The sequence below is a fragment of the Homo sapiens genome, chromosome 10, assembly GCF_000001405.40.
Source record: "Homo sapiens chromosome 10, GRCh38.p14 Primary Assembly".
Taxonomy (NCBI): Eukaryota; Metazoa; Chordata; class Mammalia; order Primates; family Hominidae; genus Homo; species Homo sapiens.
In genome coordinates this window covers 27,533,894-27,553,631 of record NC_000010.11, presented here as the reverse complement: position 1 = coordinate 27,553,631, position 19,738 = coordinate 27,533,894, and the positions used below count along the sequence as shown (strand labels likewise).

The 19,738-nt window shown below is 38.8% G+C and overlaps 1 protein-coding gene across 5 annotated transcripts in view; it reads right to left on the bottom strand.

Moving 5' to 3' along the window:
* Window positions 11,393-19,738, bottom strand: part of RAB18 (RAB18, member RAS oncogene family) — a 37,936-nt gene continuing 29,590 nt past the window's right edge. For 4 of the 5 annotated variants that reach the window (NR_046172.2, NM_001256410.2, NM_021252.5 and 1 more), the window contains 2 exons: window positions 19,638-19,704; window positions 11,393-15,756 (listed from right to left, as the gene is read on the bottom strand). Coding sequence is in view for 4 of the 5 variants with exons in the window: in NM_001256410.2 (NP_001243339.1) it covers window positions 15,581-15,756; window positions 19,638-19,704 (243 nt within the window). In the remaining variant the exon portion in view is untranslated. The remainder of the gene's footprint in view (window positions 15,757-19,637; window positions 19,705-19,738) is intronic. The other variant, NM_001256411.2, reaches the window with a different exon arrangement.

The following is a 19,738-nucleotide window of genomic DNA, read 5'->3' as shown; positions in this document are numbered from 1 at the left end:
TTTAGGTAGGGTCTCCTGGATATTCACATAATTTTTGCTCACGGAATCCCCAGGAGGCACCATTCCCATAGAACACAATGGAACCCACTAGAAATCTACAGGGGGAGTACAACTGTGTCTATGAACAGCCCTCATTACAGGAGCTTAATGTAGATCAATTTACAAGACCTCATCTATGCCTTTCTGCAGCATATAGATGCAAAAGCTATAAATACACATATGAGTAAGTCGAATCCAGCAGTGCATTGAAAAAAATACAACATGGACAAGATACATTCCAAGAATGTAAAGATCGTTTTGAAATAGAAAATCTTCAACATAATTCATTATATAAACTAGCAACAAAACCATTTGATTATATCAATAGTTGGCAAAAAAAAAAAAGAATCTGAAAAAATTTAGCTGCTATTCCAAAAAAGATTAAAGTAAAATATTAAAATAATACAGTTAACTCAATATTCTAAAATAGTAAAGACTGTTTCTTGAAATAAAAGAAAAAAAAAAGCAAATGGTACCTTAAAAGACAAAGTACTAAAACTATTGTTATAAAACAGGAACAGACAAAATTATCTTTACTCACACATATTGTGATGAACCTAAAAAACAAGAAACACTAAAAAGAGATTAGCATTAGTAGCAAATTTGGTAAGACGCTGTTATAAGAAATACATAAACAGTAATTTTTTTCTTTTTATGGAGAAAAATAAATGAGAAATGGAAATGGAAAAAAACCTAGACGCACGATAGTAACCACATATGATAAAATACCTAGAAATACATTAACAAATGTAGCTAGACAGTCTATATGAAGGAAACTCTAAAATTGTATTAACAGACATAAAACAAGAACTGAATAAATGGAAAGGTATGTCATGTTTCTGGATAGGACGACTTTTTAAAATGTCACTTTTATAAATTAATACATAAATTTAATGCAGCTCCTGTCAGGATTCCAAAGGACTTTATTTTGTAACTGGGCAAAATGCTTGCCAAAATAGTAGTTACTAAAAAAAAAAAAAAAAAAAAATAGTGAGAGAACTTAATTTATAAATATACTGTAAATCAAAATGGTTGTGATTTTGGCATAGGACTATGTCAGTGAACAGAACAGAATCTAGAAACAGACTCGACTGTATATGGGAACTTACTCTTTGAAGAAACAGAAACTCATTCTCAGCAAACTATCGCAAGGACAAAAAACCAAACACCGCATATTCTCACTCATAGGTGGGAACTGAACAATGAGAACACATGGACACAGGAGGGGGAACATCACACACCGGGGCCTGTTGTGGGGTCGGGGGAGGAGGGAGGGATAGCATTAGGAGCTACACCTAATGTTATATGACGAGTTAATGGGTGCAGCACACCAACATGGCCCATGTATACATATGTAACAAACCTGCACGTTGTGCACATGTACCCTAAAACTTAAAGTATAATTTAAAAAAAAAATTATTCATCCAGCACCGGGGCCTCCTCCCTTTCAACTTTATCCCAGGTTATAACCTGAACCTACCCTCAATGTCTGAATGTCAAACATCTCTCTGACATTTCTTTCCAGGTCCCTTGCCTGAGTATATCTAGGCCGAAATATTTGGCCACATTAGGAACACCCACCCTTTGGTTCTATCTACTTTTTTCGCCCTCCATCATCAACTTCTCACTGACCTCACTTCTCTCTTTATCCAGTTGAGATTCCATAATGCATCATTATAATTTGTCCCTTGTGTTTACTTTTAGATAACTTGTGGGGATGGACCTATCCCCATTTCGCTCCCTTAGGAAAATCCCAGCCCTGCTTAAATTCAACTTTTTACCCACTCTGTGTCCCTAGATGAACTTCCTAGAAAAACACACAGAATTAAACTGACTGGCCTCTATTTTTGACCACACATTTTAAAAAATCACTTTGCACTACTGATAAGTTCTATTACATTACCCTAATAGAGTTTCTTTCCTATTGTCCTAGATAATTATTTCCCATTTTCTTTTCTCAAATCCTTTCTTCCATTTACCTTAGTGATGATCTTGCTTTTTACATGAATAACACAGAAGAAATCAGAAGACAACTCTCACATCCTCCTACCCCAAACCTACAAGTCTGTCCATATGTGTGCTCCCCCACAGTCTTGCCATCTGATATGAGGGCTGCACTATCTCTGCTCCTGTCTGAGGTCACTGTCTCCACTCAAGAAGTAGATCCCATTCCTTCTTACCTACTAAAGAGCTTTGTTCCTACCAGTTTCCCTTTTCATGACTGTTATTTTCTTTCTAGTAGATCATTTCTGATGCAGGGCAGGTGAGCCCCCAAACTAGGGGTTAGCCCAGGGGACCTCTTGCCTTCGCCCAGAAAAGAATTTAACAGCAAGTCAGTGATGTTGGACAGTAACTTTTACTGAAGCAGGAGTACACGGCAGCAGCAGAGGGACTGCTCCTTTTGGAACGGGGCTACCCATCGGCAGTGCACCCAGAGCAGCAGCCCAGGGGCAGTTCTGCAGTCATATGTATACCAACTTTAAATCATATGCAAATTAATGGACAGGTTATTTAGACATTTCTAGAAAAAGGGTGGTAACTTCTGAGTGTTGCCATGGCAACGGTAAACTGACATGGCACTGGTGGACGCATCTTATGGAGAGCTGCTTTCACCTCTTCCATACAGCCAGTCTTCAGTCTGGTCCAGAATAAATTCCTGCCGCCTACCTCACTGTCTCATTCCCATCAACACAAAAGCATTCTGTAACATGTCCCATTTTCTCTCTTCCTAGGCCCACTTACCCTCTCCTCACTTCCAGCTATCTTTGCCTATCTTCCTTTAACCCACTCTCTCTAGGCTTTCATTCCACCCACCTCTGAAATCTGTCAAAGTCACCAGTGACCTCCACATTACCAAATTTAAATGTGAATTCCCTGTTCCTATATGTCTCAGCTCTCAGCAGCAGGGGATAGTGTCTAAAAGCACTTTACACCAGAGGACAAGAATCTGGTCTTGAATCAACTGTGAAAATATGGGCAAGTTACTTACCTCCCTGTGCCAAGGTTTCCTCATTTGTAAAAGGACGATGCTCATACTACTCTAACACTATATTATAGGGTCGTGGAAGGATTCTGTGATTTAATATGTATAGAGCACTTAGACCTTGTCTGGCACAACTTAACAATTCAATAAATGTTGGCTATTATTAGTATTGATTGTTCGCTTCTTCTTGAAACCTTTTTTTAGACTGACTTCTAGGATACCACACACCCCGGATTTTTCTGGCAACTTCCCAGTCTCATTTGCTGACTCTTTCTTCTCCTGTCTAAACAGCAAAGGGTTCTAGGATTACTTAGCACTTTCTTATTATCTATTTTATAGATATATTCTCCCCTTGGTGATCTCCTATATATCTCATGTGTCTATGGCTTTAAATTTCATCTCTGTGCTGATAATCCTCAAATATATATTTCCAGATCTCTATTCTCTCCTGAGCCCCAGACTCTTATACTCTTATATTCAAATATCTATTCAAGGCCGGGCGCGGTGGCTCACGCCTGTAATCCCAGCACTTTGGGAGGCCGAGGTAGGTGATCACCTGAGGTCAGGAGTTCGAGACCAGCCCAACCAACATAGAGAAACCCTGTCTCTACTAAAAATACAAAAATTAGCCAGGCGTGGTGGCACATGCCTGTAATCCCAGCCACTCGGCTACTTGGGAGGCTGAGGCAGGAGAATCGCTTGAACCTGGGAGGCAGAGGTTGCGGTGAGCCAAGATTGCGCCATTGCACTCCAGCCTGAGCAACAAGAGCAAAAACTCCATCTCAAAAAATAAATAAATAAATAAGTACAAAACAAAACAAAACAAAAAACCTCTATTCAAAATTTCCACTAGGATATCTAACAGGCAACTCAAATTTAGTAAGTGCAAAATAATTTTTCCCCAAGTCTGTTTCTCCCTCCATATTTCCCATCTTATAATGGAGCACCGTTACCCAGTTGCTAATGCTAAACAACCAGGAATCATCCTTTGATTCCTCTCTTTTCCTCATCCAGTCTCTTAGCAGGTCTTATTGTATTTACCTTTAGAATACATCTTGGATCTGACCACTTCTCACTACCACCCTTAGTCCAATCCACCATCATCCCTTCGTTAGACTTAAGCAACACCCTCCTCATAGATCTCCTTTCACTCTTACTCCCAAATACCAGTTTAGCAAATATTTTGAAACAAGTATCAGATCACATTACTTCTATGGCAAAGTTGGTTAATTATCTTCCTAATAACCACCTAACACTTCTTCCTTACTGCCACTGGAGACAGCAATGTGCCTAACCTAGACTATATTTTCTAGCTTTTTTTGTTAGGTGTGGCCAGGAGATTACATTCCAGCCAGTGAAATAAATGGGAATGGTATACGTGTATCTTCAGGAAGTTCCCCCAAAAGACAACTGACTCAGTAGAGAGTGTGCCCTTTTGTCTTCCTCTCTTTTCTGCTGCCTGGAATATGGATGTGATAAACAGAGCTCTCCCACCCTGCAGCCACTTTGGACCATGAGGTAGTCTTGAGGATGGATAGAAATGGCCAATAGAGTCACTCTCAACAGTCCTGAATGATCATTTTTGGACTTCTCTGGTATGAGAAAACAAATCCTTGCATATTTAAACAATTATTATTCTGAATTTTCAGTTAATATACACCCAAACCTAATCCTAAATAATACAATTCCTTTGTTTTTTCTTAGTCATGCTAGTTAACATATCCACCACTTCATGTACTTATTTTTCTGTGGTGAGAACTTTTTTATTGGTACATAATTTTTGTATGTATTTATGGAAAACAAGTGACATTTTCATACATGTATAAAATGTGCAATAATCAAGTTATCTGATTATTCAGACTACCCATCACCTCAAGCATTTATCATTTCTTTGTGGTGAGAACATTCAAAATCCCCTCTTCTAGCTATCTTGAAATATACAATAATATAGTGTTAACTATAGTCACCCTACTGTGCTATTGAACATTAGAAATTATTTCTTCTATCTGTATTTTTGTAACCCTTAACCAACTTCTCTTCATCCTCTTGCCCATCTTCCCTTTCCAGCCTCTGGTAACTATCATTCTACTCTCTACCTCTGTTAGGTCAACTTTTTTAGCTCCCACATATGAGTGAGAACATTCAATATTTGTCCTTCTGTGCCTTGTTTATTTCACTTAACATAATAACCTCCAGTTCCAACCATGTTGCTGCAAATGATTTCATTCTTTTTTATGGTCTAATAGTATTCCTCTTTCTTTATCCATTCATCCACTGATAGACACTTAGGTTGATTCCATATTTTGGCTATTGTGAATAGTGCCACAATAAACACCGGAATGCAGATATTCCTTTCATAGCCTGATTTTTTTTCCTTTGAATAAATACCCAGTGGTGGAATTGCTGGATCAAATGGTAGTTCTATTGTTAGTTTTTTTGAGAAATCTCCATTCCATGGTCGCTGTGCTAATTTACATTTCCACCAACAGTGTAGAAGAGTTCCCTTTTCTCTGCATCCTCACCAGCATTTATTTTTGTCTTTTTGATAATTGCCATTCTAAAACGTGTGAAATAATATCTCATTATGGTTTTGATTTGCATTTCCCTGATGATTACTGATGTTGAGCATTTCTTTTTCATATACCTATTGGCCATTTGTATGTCTTCTTTTGAGAAAAGTTTACTCAGATCCTTTGCCCACTTTTTAATGGGATCATGTTTTGCTGTTTGTAACTTCTGTATTTAAAGCTCTTCAGTGGTTTCCCATCACACTCAGCATAACATCCAAACTCCACAAAGGATCTACATGTTCTGACTCCTGCTTCCTTCTTCTACCACCCTCCTGCTCGCTTTCTGTGCTACATAAACACTGGCCTTGTTATTCCCTGAACTCACCAAGCAGGATCTGCTCAGGCCCTTTCACATTTGCCAGTCCTTCTCCAGTAAACTCTCTTCTCCCACAGGTAGGCGTATGCGTAGCAACATCTTTTCTTATTGACTAGAGTCTCTGCTCAAATGTCACTTGCCCAGAGAGGACTTGCTTCAGACTGAAACACTTTTTATCCAGTTAGTGTGGTCTATTTTCTTCCCACTCTTATTTCAAAATCATGTAATTAATCTTTTTACTCTCTTTTCCACCCTACTACATATACTAACATGAGGACATTGACTCCGATTTATTCACCATTCTATCCCTAGGACTTAGAACCATGCCTGGCAAATAGGAGGTCTGAAATAAATCTTTGCTGAACAAATCAACAAGTTATGGAATTTCTATTCAGGGGAGAAAAGATTAAATTGTGTTGGCACAGTTTGCTATCTGCCTGGAAGAAAATAAACATCATAAAAACACCATAAACACAAATAAATTCCAGATGGATTACATAATAAAATGTGAAGACAAATAAGCAAACAACAAAACTATGAACATAGTAGGAAAAAAATGTTTGAGAATGGCTGTATAACCTTGGGATGGGGTTGCCTTCTTAACTAAAAGGGAAACACAAAAGCCATAAAGGATTAATAATGCCGTCCACACAAAAGTGAAATAATTAAATTTAATAGTTAAAAAACAAATGATTGACCAGGTGCAGTGGCTCACACCTGTAATCCTAGCACTTTGGGAGGCCAAGGCAGTGGATCACTTGAGCTCAGGAGTTCAAGACCAACCTGGGCAACACAGTGAAATCCTCATCTCTACAAAACGAAAACAAAAAAGCCAAATGACTGCTCTGAACCATTGCGCCCGGCCAAGAACAAATGCTCTGTCTCTGACAAGGACATGAGTTGGTTCTTATGCCCTCCCTGAGAACATGTTAAAAATATATTTTAAACATTAAAGAACTTTGGGAGGCCGAGGCGGGCGGATCACGAGGTCAGGAGATCGAGACCACCCTGGCTAACACGGTTGAAACCCCATCTCTACTAAAATTACAAAAAATTAGCCAGGCGTGGTGGCGGGCGCCTGTAGTCCCAGTTACTCGGGAGGCTGAGGCAGGAGAATGGTGTGAACCTGGGAGGTGGAGGTTGCAATGAGCCGAGATTGGGCCACTGCACTCCAGCCTGGGCGACAGAGCAAGCCTCCGTCTCAAAAAAAAAAAAAAAAAAAAAATTAAAGAAAAGAACAAATCTTTGTTGTTGTTGTTTTTGTGACGGAGTCTTGCTCTGTCACCCAGGCTGGAGTGCAGTGGCGCAATCTCGGCTCACCGCAACCTCTGCCTCCTGGGTTCAAGTGATTCTCCTGCCTCCCAAGTAGCTGGGACTACAGGCGACCACCACCATGCTTGGCTAATTTTTCCATTTTTAGTAGAGACAGAGTTTCACCATGTTGGTCAGAATGCTCTTGGACTCCTGACCTCAAGTGAACTGCCCACCCTGGCCTCCCAAAGTGTTGGGATTACAGGCGTGAACCATTGTGCCCAGACAAGAACAAATCTTAATAGTAAAGGGCTGAGGCGGAAGGATCACCTGAGCCCAGGAGGTCAAGACCAGCCTGGGGAACATAGAGACTCTATCTCTCCAAAAAGTAGAAAAATTTGCAGGGCATGGTAGTGCCTACCTGTAGTCCCCACTACTTGGGAGGCTCAGATGGGATGATTGCATGAGCCCAGGAAGCTGCAGTGAGCTATGATGGCAGCATTGCACTCCTGCCTGGGCAACAGGGTGAGATCCTAACTAAAAATAAAATAGTGAAGGCAGCGAAGAATATCATCCTGAGATATTTCTACAGATTTATGCAAGATAGAGGCCTCTAATAGATAAAGGAAGAGAAAAAGGAAGTCTAGAACACGTAGGTAGAGACTGCAGAGTGATGAGAGCCAACCTGCCTCGGGGTGGCCAGGAAAGCCCTGATCAGTGTCAGGTATAGTAGAGGTGGGAGGAGGGAGACCAGACATAATCACAAGGAAACTTTCTGGTAATACAAATATTCTGTATCTTAACTGACAGTGGTTCCTTAGGGAGTGGGGAGGACAGGGTCTCACTCTTGCCAGGCTGGAGTGCAGTGACACAATCACAACTCACTGCCACCTTGACCTGGGTTGCTCAAACGATCCTCTCACCTCAGCCTCTGGAGTAGTGGAAACCATAGCTGCACCACAATATGCCTGGCTATTTTTTTTTTTTATAGTTTTTTGTAGAGACGAGATCCCACTATGTTGCCCAAGCTTGTCTGGAACTCTTGGGCTCAAGCAATCTTCCTGCCTCAGCCTCCCAAACTGCTGGGATTACAGCCGTGAGCCACCACACCTGGCCTTGATTGTGATAGTATTTATACAAGTGCATATATTTATTAAAACTCATCAAGATGTAGCCTTATGTAATCAAAGTAGATTACAGTACTTATGGGAATTTCATCTAAGGCAGTAAACATAAACACTGAAAAATTACAAATTGCATTTTTGCTATTTTGCCTAGAAAATGAAAGAAACCCTAGTTAAACCAAAGTACCAAATGAAAGAAATTAATTAGGTGTCTCAATAAACTTAGAAAAGTCTATAGCTTTTCTTTATTAGTGACAACTACACAGAATTCTGAAATGAAGAAAACCTACGTTCTATTCACACTGACAAAACAAAATTCATAGGGATAATTTTAATAAAGAAGGTATAGGTCCTATGTGAAGAAAACCATAAACCACTAAAAACATAGAATCTGAATACAGAAAGATACCCCATGTAACCTCATGGCAAGTCTTGTAACTAAATTATCAGTTTTCTCACAATTAATGCAGGAATATCATGTAATCCTAATTAGAATCCTGATTTTAAAAAACTAACTAAAAATTAAATTTTTGGTTTTTAAAACTTTTAAGGATGCAAAACTTCAAACAAATTCAAAAGACAAGTCACTGGGTGAAGATGTCAGCAATACATATTAATGACAAAAGATTAGTAACCATATTCCATTAAAAGAAATAAACCTCCTTCATATGAATATTTTTTAAAGGACCCACCAAAAGGAAAAATGGGTGAGGGATCATTTTGAAGATTCATATGTGAAGAAAAAAAATAAAGCACGTAGAAGGATTTGCCTTACAAGCCATATACTATGTTTTCTGTTATCTAAAGCCATGATCAAGACTTTTGCTTTACCAAACCCCTGTGGCAGTCTGATGAAACCTGCAGAGCTATTTTAAGAATGTTTTTTAAAACATAAAATACACAGGATTAAAGAAAAACCAATTATACTAAAATACATTACTTTCCAAGGTTAAGAGCCCCTAAAATAGAAGGTCAAAGTAGATTACAGTACTTATGGGAATTTCATCTAGGGCAATAGCAGTACTTCAGCTCAGTAGGAAAAGGCAGGCTTATTTCATGTTTTGTGCAGAACAACAAGCTACATGTATGAAGAATGAGATGGCTCCTTATCCTGTGCCATAAACAAGTGAATTCCAAGGGATTCAAGATTTTAAAAGAAAAAATAAAATAAAAATCTCATAAGAGGTTAAGGAAACTATGTCAAATTTAAGAGTTGAGGAGCCCAGAAGCAATAAAACATTTTTTTTAATTGTAAGGAAAATACAGTATAAACAAAATTTAAAAAGGCTTAGGTTTGAAAAAATGCTTATAACATACACATTTAGATTAATATCTGTAGTATACAAACAGCTCATATAATAAAACCACAAAAAACTGAACAGAGAAACTGGCAAAGGATATAAATAATCATTTCAAAAGAGTCGACAAACATGAAAACGACTGCAGAAAATGCAAACTAAGTTACACTCAAAAGTTACACCTGGCCGGGCGCGATGGCTCGTGCCTATAATCCCAGCACTTTGGGAGGCTGAGGGGGGCAGATCACCTGAGGTCAGGAGTTCGAGACTAGCCTGGCCAACATGGTGAAACCCCGTCTCTACTAAAAATATAAAAATTAATCAGGCATGGTGGCACATGCCTATAATCCCAGCTACTTGGGAGGCTGAGGCAGGAGAATCACTTGAACCTGGGATGCAGAGGTTGCAGTAAGCCAAGATCACGCCACTGTACTCCAGCCTGGGCGACAGAGTCAGACTCTGTCTCAAAAAAAAAATATATATATATATATACTATCTGGGAAAGATTCATTTGTATTCCAAACCTCAGCATCACACAATATACCTTTGTAACAAACATGCACATGTACTCCCGAGTCTAAAATAAAAGTTGAAAAAAAATTACACCTTATAAGTATCAAAGTAACTAAAATGTGGTAACACCTCAGGGCTGATGGGGAATGCAGGGAAAGTGATATGTCCATAGTTATTACACTAGTGGAAATGTAGAAGGTTACAGACTTTGGGAAGCTATTGAAAAAATATATCAAAACTTAAAAAATGCATTGTCTGATCTATGGATCCAACACATAGATATCTAACAAAAGGAAATGTGTACAAGGATATTTATCGTGGTACTATCTACAGCAGGAAAAACATAGAAACAAGATAATTGCCCATTACTAGAGGAATAGTTGAATAAATTGTGGTATCTGACACATTTAGAATTTTAATATTGTACCATCACAGAAATGGATCTTAGATGTCCAGAAATTGGTTTGGAGGGATTTTCACAATCTACTGTTAGGAAAGAAAAGCAGCCAGATGCGGTGACTCATGCCTGTAATCCCAGCACTTCAAGAGGCCAAGGCAGGATAGCTTAAGCCCAGGAGCTCGAGACCAGCCTGGGCAACACAGGGAGATCCTGTCTACACAAAAAGATGTTTAAAAAATTACCCAGGCATGGTGGTGCACACCTGTAGTCCAGCTACTTGGGAAGCTGAGGTGAGAAGATCACTTGGGACTGGAAGGTTGAGGCTGCAGTGAGCTGTGATCACACCACTGCACTCCTGCCTGGGCGACAGAGCGAATGCCTGTCTCTAAAAAAATAAAAAAAAGACAAAGAAAAACAACATGCAGAGATGAATATACAGATGGTTCCAATTTATAATACATATTTAAAGAAAACTGTAACTATATATAAATATTTATGTATCTATATGTATTTGCATATGATTATAAACATCGAGAAATGCAGAAAGAGCATATGGCTAGGATGCAACAGATACCTCAGGGAGGAGAGGAACGAGAGGGCATGCTCGGGTGACAGAGGAAATGAAAAGAAACCACATCATATATGTATGAAGTTAACTCATTTACAGTTTTCTATGTATATATCCATAAAGAAATACGTAAAAGTATTCTCACTAAAATGTTAATAGTTATTTAAGAGTAGTGGCTTTTCAAGTGGTTTACTTTTTTTCTTCCTTATGCAAACAATCTATTACTGATGTAACTAACTTGACGTACGAGCACCTCTGTAAATAAGAAAAACACACACATTCTCACACTACTTATATTTGGTTGCAAGAAAAAAGAAAATCCAAGTCAAATTGCCTTCAACAAAAAAGGAATTTATTGGCTCACATAAGTGAAAGCTGAGAAATAGATCTCAATTCAGGTCCAATTTGATCCAGAAGTTCCCAAGGGCTCCAATAGACTCCCTCTCACCCTGGTACTGCCTCAGGCTGGTTCCTTTATATTAGAAAAACGAGCTGCAGCAAGTTCAGAATGTGACTCCTCCCAGCACACTATCTCCAACAAGATGTCTTCAATTGCTCCTGAAAAAGCCTAGGCAAACATCTTTATCTCAGTAGTCTGGTCTGGGTCAGGTGCCTACCCCTGAACCATTGCTACTGGGGAAGTGGGGCACTGCTAAAAGGTAACTGGGTTAATCTAGAAAGCCGAGGGTGTGACAATGCCACCCAAACCACATGCCAATTGTTTGCAGGGGTGGGGGTGGGGGTGGTATGGTGGGAGAAGGAAGTAGGTGCTGGATCGGGCAGCCACAGCACACACAAACAAGAAATTAAAGTCAGTCACAAACATATCCAATAAAATATTAAAAGTACTCAAGCTCACTAGTAATCAAAGAAACACAAAAAAAACTACGTAATTTGTTGCTTCTCCGGTTAAAAAAGAGGAAAAAAAAAAAAAGCAAGAAATAACCTGCATGAGAAACGGTAAAGGGGACAAGACTGAGAACAGGCATGAACACACGACTATTCAAAATATGTGTGTAGGTGTGTGTGTGCTTACATTCATTGAACAGCTTTAACTAAGGGGCACTTAAGCAAACTTTATACCACAATCAGAAACATGACTGATTCCCAAGTATGAAACAATAAGCTAGCAACAAAACAGTAAAATGTAAAGCCCCATCACAGTAGTCCTCCAGCATGATAGATGTTCCCAACTGAGGAGAGAAAAATTAAAAAAAAAAAAAAAGACCTGGGTGATTCTATATTCCTTAGCCCCTAGTCTTGACTTAGCTAGCCTGTCTATGTCTATTTATTCTCGTCTTTCAACAGTTTAGGCAAAACCCAGGGTGAAGTCTATATAGTTGAGTATACACGGCAGGGTCGGAGTCAGAACAATGTCTTCTGAAAGCTGAATAACGTTTTTACCCCTATACTTAACTAGGGAAATACAGGAAAGACAAAATAACTTCCTAAGTATTACTAGTGAAATGTACCCCCAAGAAAGAGAAGCATAATGCTTGAATATGGAGAGGATCTCTGATCTATAATACCTGAAGAATTGTTGAGTTCATTTGAAAAAAATACACAGAAAAAATATGTATTAAGTTGTACTTAAAGACACTATGGTTATTAGGTAAGTCTGTGCCAACTCACAGGCAGAACAAGTACTGGTGTAAGAAGGATTCTTTTATGAGCTATGGTGCTAGCCCCACCCTTAGTAGAGAATCATGTCTCTTGACCATGCAAGCTACGATGAATCAAAATCAAGTCTATTTCCACAACACTCAGCTAGAATGTCAACACCAAGTATGAGTTTATGGATGGCAATCAAATACATGAAATGAAAACATCACCCCAGATTTCAGTTTTGAGCAAATTACTGTTTCCATAATTTCTATTCTCACATAAAAAGTGAAGGTACCATAAGTCCCCTAACTTTGTACCTTTTCTAAGTCAGGATTTTCAGTCCACTCTGAGCAGGTGAAAGAAATAAGACCACCTACTCCACTACCTTAACTTTTATGTCACATGACTTATGAGGTAGGTTTACATCATGGGATTTACTCTATAACCCAAAAGTGTGAAATACTTCTATTACATATAACAAAAGAGTGATAAAGAAATAGTGGAACTGCCTTAACTTGGTTGTGTTACAAAAAGCTGGTAACTAACTACCCATTGTAAAATGAGCGATGGTGAAGAGTATGGGCTCAGAAGTAAAAATGCCATGACTGGAATCCAGCTCAGTGACTGAGTAGCTATGTGATCTTTGGGGGTTACCTAACATACCTACATTGTGTTGTCCTCACCTTTAAAATGGGCATAATAGGAGTACTAATCTCTTAAGGTTGCTGTGAGGTTTAATGAGATAATTCAGCACTTAGAAAGGCATCTGGCACCAAGGAAGCTTTCAATAAATATTAACTATTACTCAGAAATTGAATAGTTTTTTATTTGTTTGGGTCAATCTCAGTACTACTAGAACTCAAAATACTATATTCTAATTGTTCTAATTTGTACCATCTGCAAAAGACCCTTTAAGACTGCTTCAATGATTCTGAAAAGAATTAACAAAACCCTGTTACTAGGTGCCTGACCTTAGATATTACAACTGTTTCATTTACAAAACCTCCACTACAAAACACTAAGCTTGCAACAAAACAACAAAATGAAAGCCACATAATTTGAGTAACACAATAGTACATATTCTTCAGCTGATGAGAGTAATAGGGAAATGTATATACTTCCTACACAAATGCATCTAGGGAAAGCAGGCTATATTTATTCAAGAACTAGAAAAAGGTTACAATATAAATCTATCAAACAAAATTCATTTTTGTTATATTCAAGTAACTCATATATATTCAAATTTAGACCAAATCAAGACAACAATCCAATACACAGATTATTATATAGCTCAAGGAGCAAAAAACAACAGTCTTGTCAATACAGACTCTACATAAATACACAAATCTCAAGTTTTAATATAACATGAACAAATCACAAGTACATGTGTTAGTGTTCTTTCTCCAAATTTCTAGTAGTAAATCTTGTATATTTAGTAAAAGCATATAGAATGTATAAAACCTTCAACCACATGTAATGTAGACTAGGAAGTGTAAATCAAGTAGAATGTGAGGTTTTTATATGTAAAGATGTACATTTCAGAAAGAACCCAACATGAAGTAAATTAACAAACATATTGCAAAGGTGGTCACTCACAAAAATGCTTATCATTTGCAATTGTATACAGAGAACAAACTGCCCAGAAATTAATACTGGAATCTTACTGAGGGGTATTATAGTAACCAACCTTAAAGGACAAATAACTTATTTGGGGGGTTAAAATAGCAGAGATCAGTGTAAATTAAATAACACATGAATGAAAAAAATCTACAATATACAATAGCAAGAGGTGAGAAAACTGAATACTGTGAAAAAGATTTATTAGTCTGTACAAGTTGGTTTTGATGAACTACTGGTTACTTGTTAAGTAAATTGTCAAGATTTTCATTGTGACAGTATTTTCCCTCACACATCAGAATCTGGAAGCAATATGCCTTTTTCAAATTATCACTTAGTGTTTTTTTTCCCCACCCCTCAAAACACAGAAATAGGTTTTTGAATATCAACTAGCCATTATGGAAGCCGTAAGATACAGATATTCATCAACATTACACAAGCTACAGTTAAGGTACCTGGACAAACACTACCAACATTTATGAAAAAAGATGTTGGTTTTAAAAGTGTATGAGGAGTTACAATAAACACACTATTCATGTCCTCCTGAAACCAAAATGGGGGAAAACCTTATTGTCATTCTGCCAAACACCACATAACTAAAAATGCTGCACAGTCATGAATCCAATGTACATATCACAGGATTAAAACTCCAGTTAAGCAACTGAGCTAATCATTGAAGTAAATTAAAAATACCAAGCTTCTTTAACCTATCAATGCTGTTTTAGAAGCATCATCCGAACAAATAGAGATTTAGTTATAAATTGGCCTGGGCTACATTCTGTGATGAGAATTTTGCTTAGTACTAAAAAAGAATCTCAAACATCCCAGAAAAGCTGTGGAATCATGCTCTTTATTATTCCTGAAAGAAAATTTGCCACGTTTGATGATACCTCTATTCTTCCCCGTGGTGCTAGGAGTTCTAAATACCAAGTAATTCAGAAAATGATAGGAGTATTTAAGCAAAAAGAATAGCAAAAGCAGACTTTGTATCAACATATCCTAGATAGATGGATTTTTTTAAAAATTACATGATAAATGTAAATCATAAAATTGAATGTACTTATAAAGGTACACCTATTTTGTGCTACATAAAAAAACTGTAGACTGCAAACTGTGCATGCTTACCATAACATTTTACCCGGGGTCGATGAGTGGGATTTCTTGCAAATATTTACTGCTATGATATAAAACAATTATGTGCAAACTGCAAGGTCCCTAAAATAGCAGTTAAAGAGTTTATATACAGAAAGATGTCACTATCTGATCAAATATGCAAGAGATGGAATTTCCCAGAGTTTATAACACAGAGCAATAACCACCACAGGCTCCTCCTCCTTGGCCTTCTTCCCTGTGTGACAGTTTGACTCCTTTATTCTGGTTCTCACTTTCCCACAGTCCAGGGGTCTGAATGATCTTTTCAACAAGTTCTTCAAAGGCACATTGTACACCATCACAGGTTTTTGCACTTGCCTCTGAAATTCAAGGAAAAAGGTCATTCATAGTATATTCCTTTCTGGCCATATTCTCATGTTTTTCTGGGAAACTATCAGGGCATAAATATCAGCCTACAATATATTAAGATCCAAATCAGCAATTTTTCCCCAAAGGTCAATAACTAGTGAATTTCCAAATCTCAAAATTGAGCTAATTAAATTCTATCCATAAGAATACTAGTATATAATTTTATACCAAAAAAACACTGGTTTATAATCTTAAAACTGTGATAGAATTGTAACTTGTAAAGCCCTACTTAAATAGCGAGCGAAAGTTTTTTCCTTAAGCTTTCAGTTAACTCTTACAACTTGCTCCCAAGGCAGATATTATTCCTATTTTAAAATAAAGAAATTCATACAAGTTAAACAATTAATCTGATTATTCTGTGCCTTCAACCAAGCAGCTCCAGGCAGCTGGACAAAATGACAAACCACCATGAAAACTGGTCCCACAGCAAATGTTTGCTCATGAAACTCAACTGGACACTCAGCACTGCTTCCAACCCTGCGTTTCCTTAGTGATGATCTTTCTCACCGTCTGAGATGAGTACTTTATTCCTTCCTCTCAAAACTCTATCGCAGCTAATAATCTAGCTGCATTATGCTGAGAAAATCAGAAGCAATCTGGCAAGAACTGCCTGATCATCCCACTAATAAATTTACCAAGCTACCTGCATATGTATCCTCATGCTCTGCTTTCCCTCCTGTGAGAATGGATAAACTGTCCCTGCTGCTATCCAAGCCATCGCCTTCTTTTGTTCCTGGAGTCCCATCCCTTCTCATTCACCGAAGGACCAAACGCTCTCTCTACTGGATCATACCAATCAGCCTAAAAGTCTGCCGAATTATTTTCCATCCTATTAAAAAACAAACTTGCTCTCTAGGCCACATGCCCTTCTTGTAGCCACCCATTTCTCCACTCTCTTTGAAACCTCTTCTAAAGAGTTATCCACATAAGCTGTTTCTACCTTCTTATCTCACGTTCTTTCTTCAAACTACTCTAATTAGGCTTTCATTCCCACCACTCCACTGAAATCATTCTTTTCCAAGACCACCAACACCCTTTATCTTGTCAAATCCAATATCCTAATTTTATTTGACATCTTTGGTATCTGATACTGCTAATCACTTCCTCTTCTTTTAAACAAGTTGTTCCCTTGACTTCCAGGACACTGAACATGCCTGAAAATCCTCTGAGCCCACTGACATGTCATGTGCAGCCTTGTTTGCTGGCACTTCCTCTTTCTGCTGACCTCTAATTGCTGGAATCCCCCAGGGTTCAATCTTCTGCCATTTTCTTTGTTTTGTTTTGTTTTTGAGACAGGGTCTCACTCTGTCACCTAGGCTGGAGTGCAGTGGGAGCTCCACTGCAGCCCTGGCCTCCCAGGCTCAAGTGATCCTCCCACCTCAGCCTCCAGAACAGCTGGAATCACAGGCACATGCCACTATACACAGCTGATTTTATTTGGAGATGAGGTCTCACTATGTTGCCCAGGCTTCTTCAGCCCTTTTCTATCCACGTTCTTTCCTGAAGTCACCACTCTAATCACATGACCTTGAATGCCACCTAAATGCCAATGACCACCATGTCCACCGGTTATCGGAAAAATGTCTCATTCTTATGTCAAAGTGAAATTCTTGATTCCTCACTTCCCTACCCTAAACCTGCTCTTATCTCAATCTTTCACATCCTAATTATTGGCAGCACAATCTACCTCACTGCTCATGCCTAAAACATGGAGTTATCTCTGATTGCTCTCTTTTTTTTTTTTTGAGACAGAGTCTCGCTCTGTCGCCCAGGCTGGAGTGCAGTGGCGTGATCTCGCTCACTGCAAGCTCCGCCTCCCAGGTTCAAGCAATTCTCCTGCCTCAGCCTCCCAAGTAGCTGGGACTACAGGCACCCGCCACCACGCCCGGTGAATTTTTTGTATTTTTAGTAGAGACGGGGTTTCACCGTGTTAGCCATGGTCTCGATCTCCTGACCTCGTAATCCGCCTGCCTCGGCCTCCCAAAGTGCTGAGATTACAGGCGTGAGCCACTGCACCCGCCTGATTGCTCTTTTTAATTATCCTCCATACCCAATCCACCCACAAATCCTGTCAGCTATACCTTCACTGTATCTCCTAGAACTGCCAATTTTCTACCACCCTCTACGGCTACACAGTCAAACCGCTTCTTCCTTCATCTGGGCCACTGCAAGAGAAGAACTAGTCTCTTGCTTCTGTTTCCCCTAGTCCATTTTCTACACAACAGGATCTTTTTAGAGTATCAGGTCACACCGCTGCTTCCCTACTTTCCACCACAATTGGAATACAATCCATCTCTTTACCATTTGAATGGCATCTCTCACCATCTGCCTTCTCCTTAACACACTCTATGCTCCAGTACACACGCTTTCTTCCTGTTCCTTTAACACAGTAGCCTGATTCCCACCTCAGGAAATATTTGCTCCTCTCTCAGCCTGAGATGATCTCCCTCTAGACTAGGGGTGTCCAGTGTTTTGGTTTCCCTGGGCCACATTAGAAGAAGAAGAATAGTCTTGGGCCACAAATAACATACAATAACACTAATGATAGCTGGAACTTAAAAAAAAGCACAAAATCTCATAATGTTTTAAGGAAGTTTACAAATTTGTGTTGGGCCACATTCAAAGCCATCCTGGGCCACATGCAGCCCATGAGTTGGACAAGCTTGCTCTAGATCCTCACCTGAGGGATTTCTGCTCAAATGGGACAGCCTCTAAGAACTTTCCCTAAGCAGTCCCCACTCCAGTCATTCTCTCTCCCCTTATAATGTTTTATTTCCTTCATAGCACTACTTACTTATTTAAGTCTGTCTCCCTTACTAGAATGTAAGCTCCATGTGGGCAGAAAGTTTGTCAGTTTTGTCCACTGTTACATCTTGAGTGTTCAATAAATATTGGGTAAACTAATGTATGGAAATGAGGGACATACAGCAAGTAAAAGTACTCGATTCCTTTCTGAAAATCTCAATACTTTCCACTAATTCCATTCTGTTTTTATCTATATATGAAGTCCTCTCAACTTCATTTGCAGATTCCTGGTAGCTTCTAACGCCATGGAATGGTTAAATCCGTAATTCCTAAAGCTGGCTTCACATCAGAATCAACTAGAGTGCTTTCAATAAACTGCCTTTCAAACCTGTAATAAGGCACAGGGCCCAGGTGATTCTGACATAGCTCATCCAATTTTCTAGATGAGGGGTTGGCAAACTCTTTCTGTAAAGGGCCAGATAGAAAATATTTAGGCTTCGTGGGCCGTATGGCCTCTGTTGTAACTACTAAACTCTGCCATATGGCACAAAAGCAGCTACAGACAACATGTAAACACATGGACATGGCTGTGTACCAATACAAATGGTGGGGCCAGATTTGGACCAGGCTGTAGTTTGGCAACTCTTGCTGGACCATGTTTCTCAAAAATTAATGTGCATACAAACCATATGAAGAGCTTGTTAAAATGCAGATTCTAATTCAGAAAATCTGGGGTAGGGCCTGAGCTGAAGCACTGCTAACAAGCTCCCAGGTGGTGCTGATGGTATCAGCATATGGACCAGCAAGGCATAACTTTAGCACTGGGTGCCAAACTTTACTGAATGCCACTATATCCTGTGAGGAATGATTTGACTGTTTTTTAATATGATTTCACATAATATGATCATACATTTTACAGGAAGAAGAATAAAGAACCTTGTTATATAGTTAGATTTTGTAACACAAGGCAACTAGGAACAATACTCTAAACACATTTTATGGTTCATAAAGAAATAAACTTGGCAAAAACTCCATTCAAAAATTCCTCATTAATAATGAAAGGACAGATATTCATTCACACACCTACCTATAAATAACATGGAATGCTTTCGTGCAAATTTCAGGCCTTCATTTCTATCGACTTCACGATTTTCCTAAAATATAAATGCAATGATTAAGAAAGGCTAC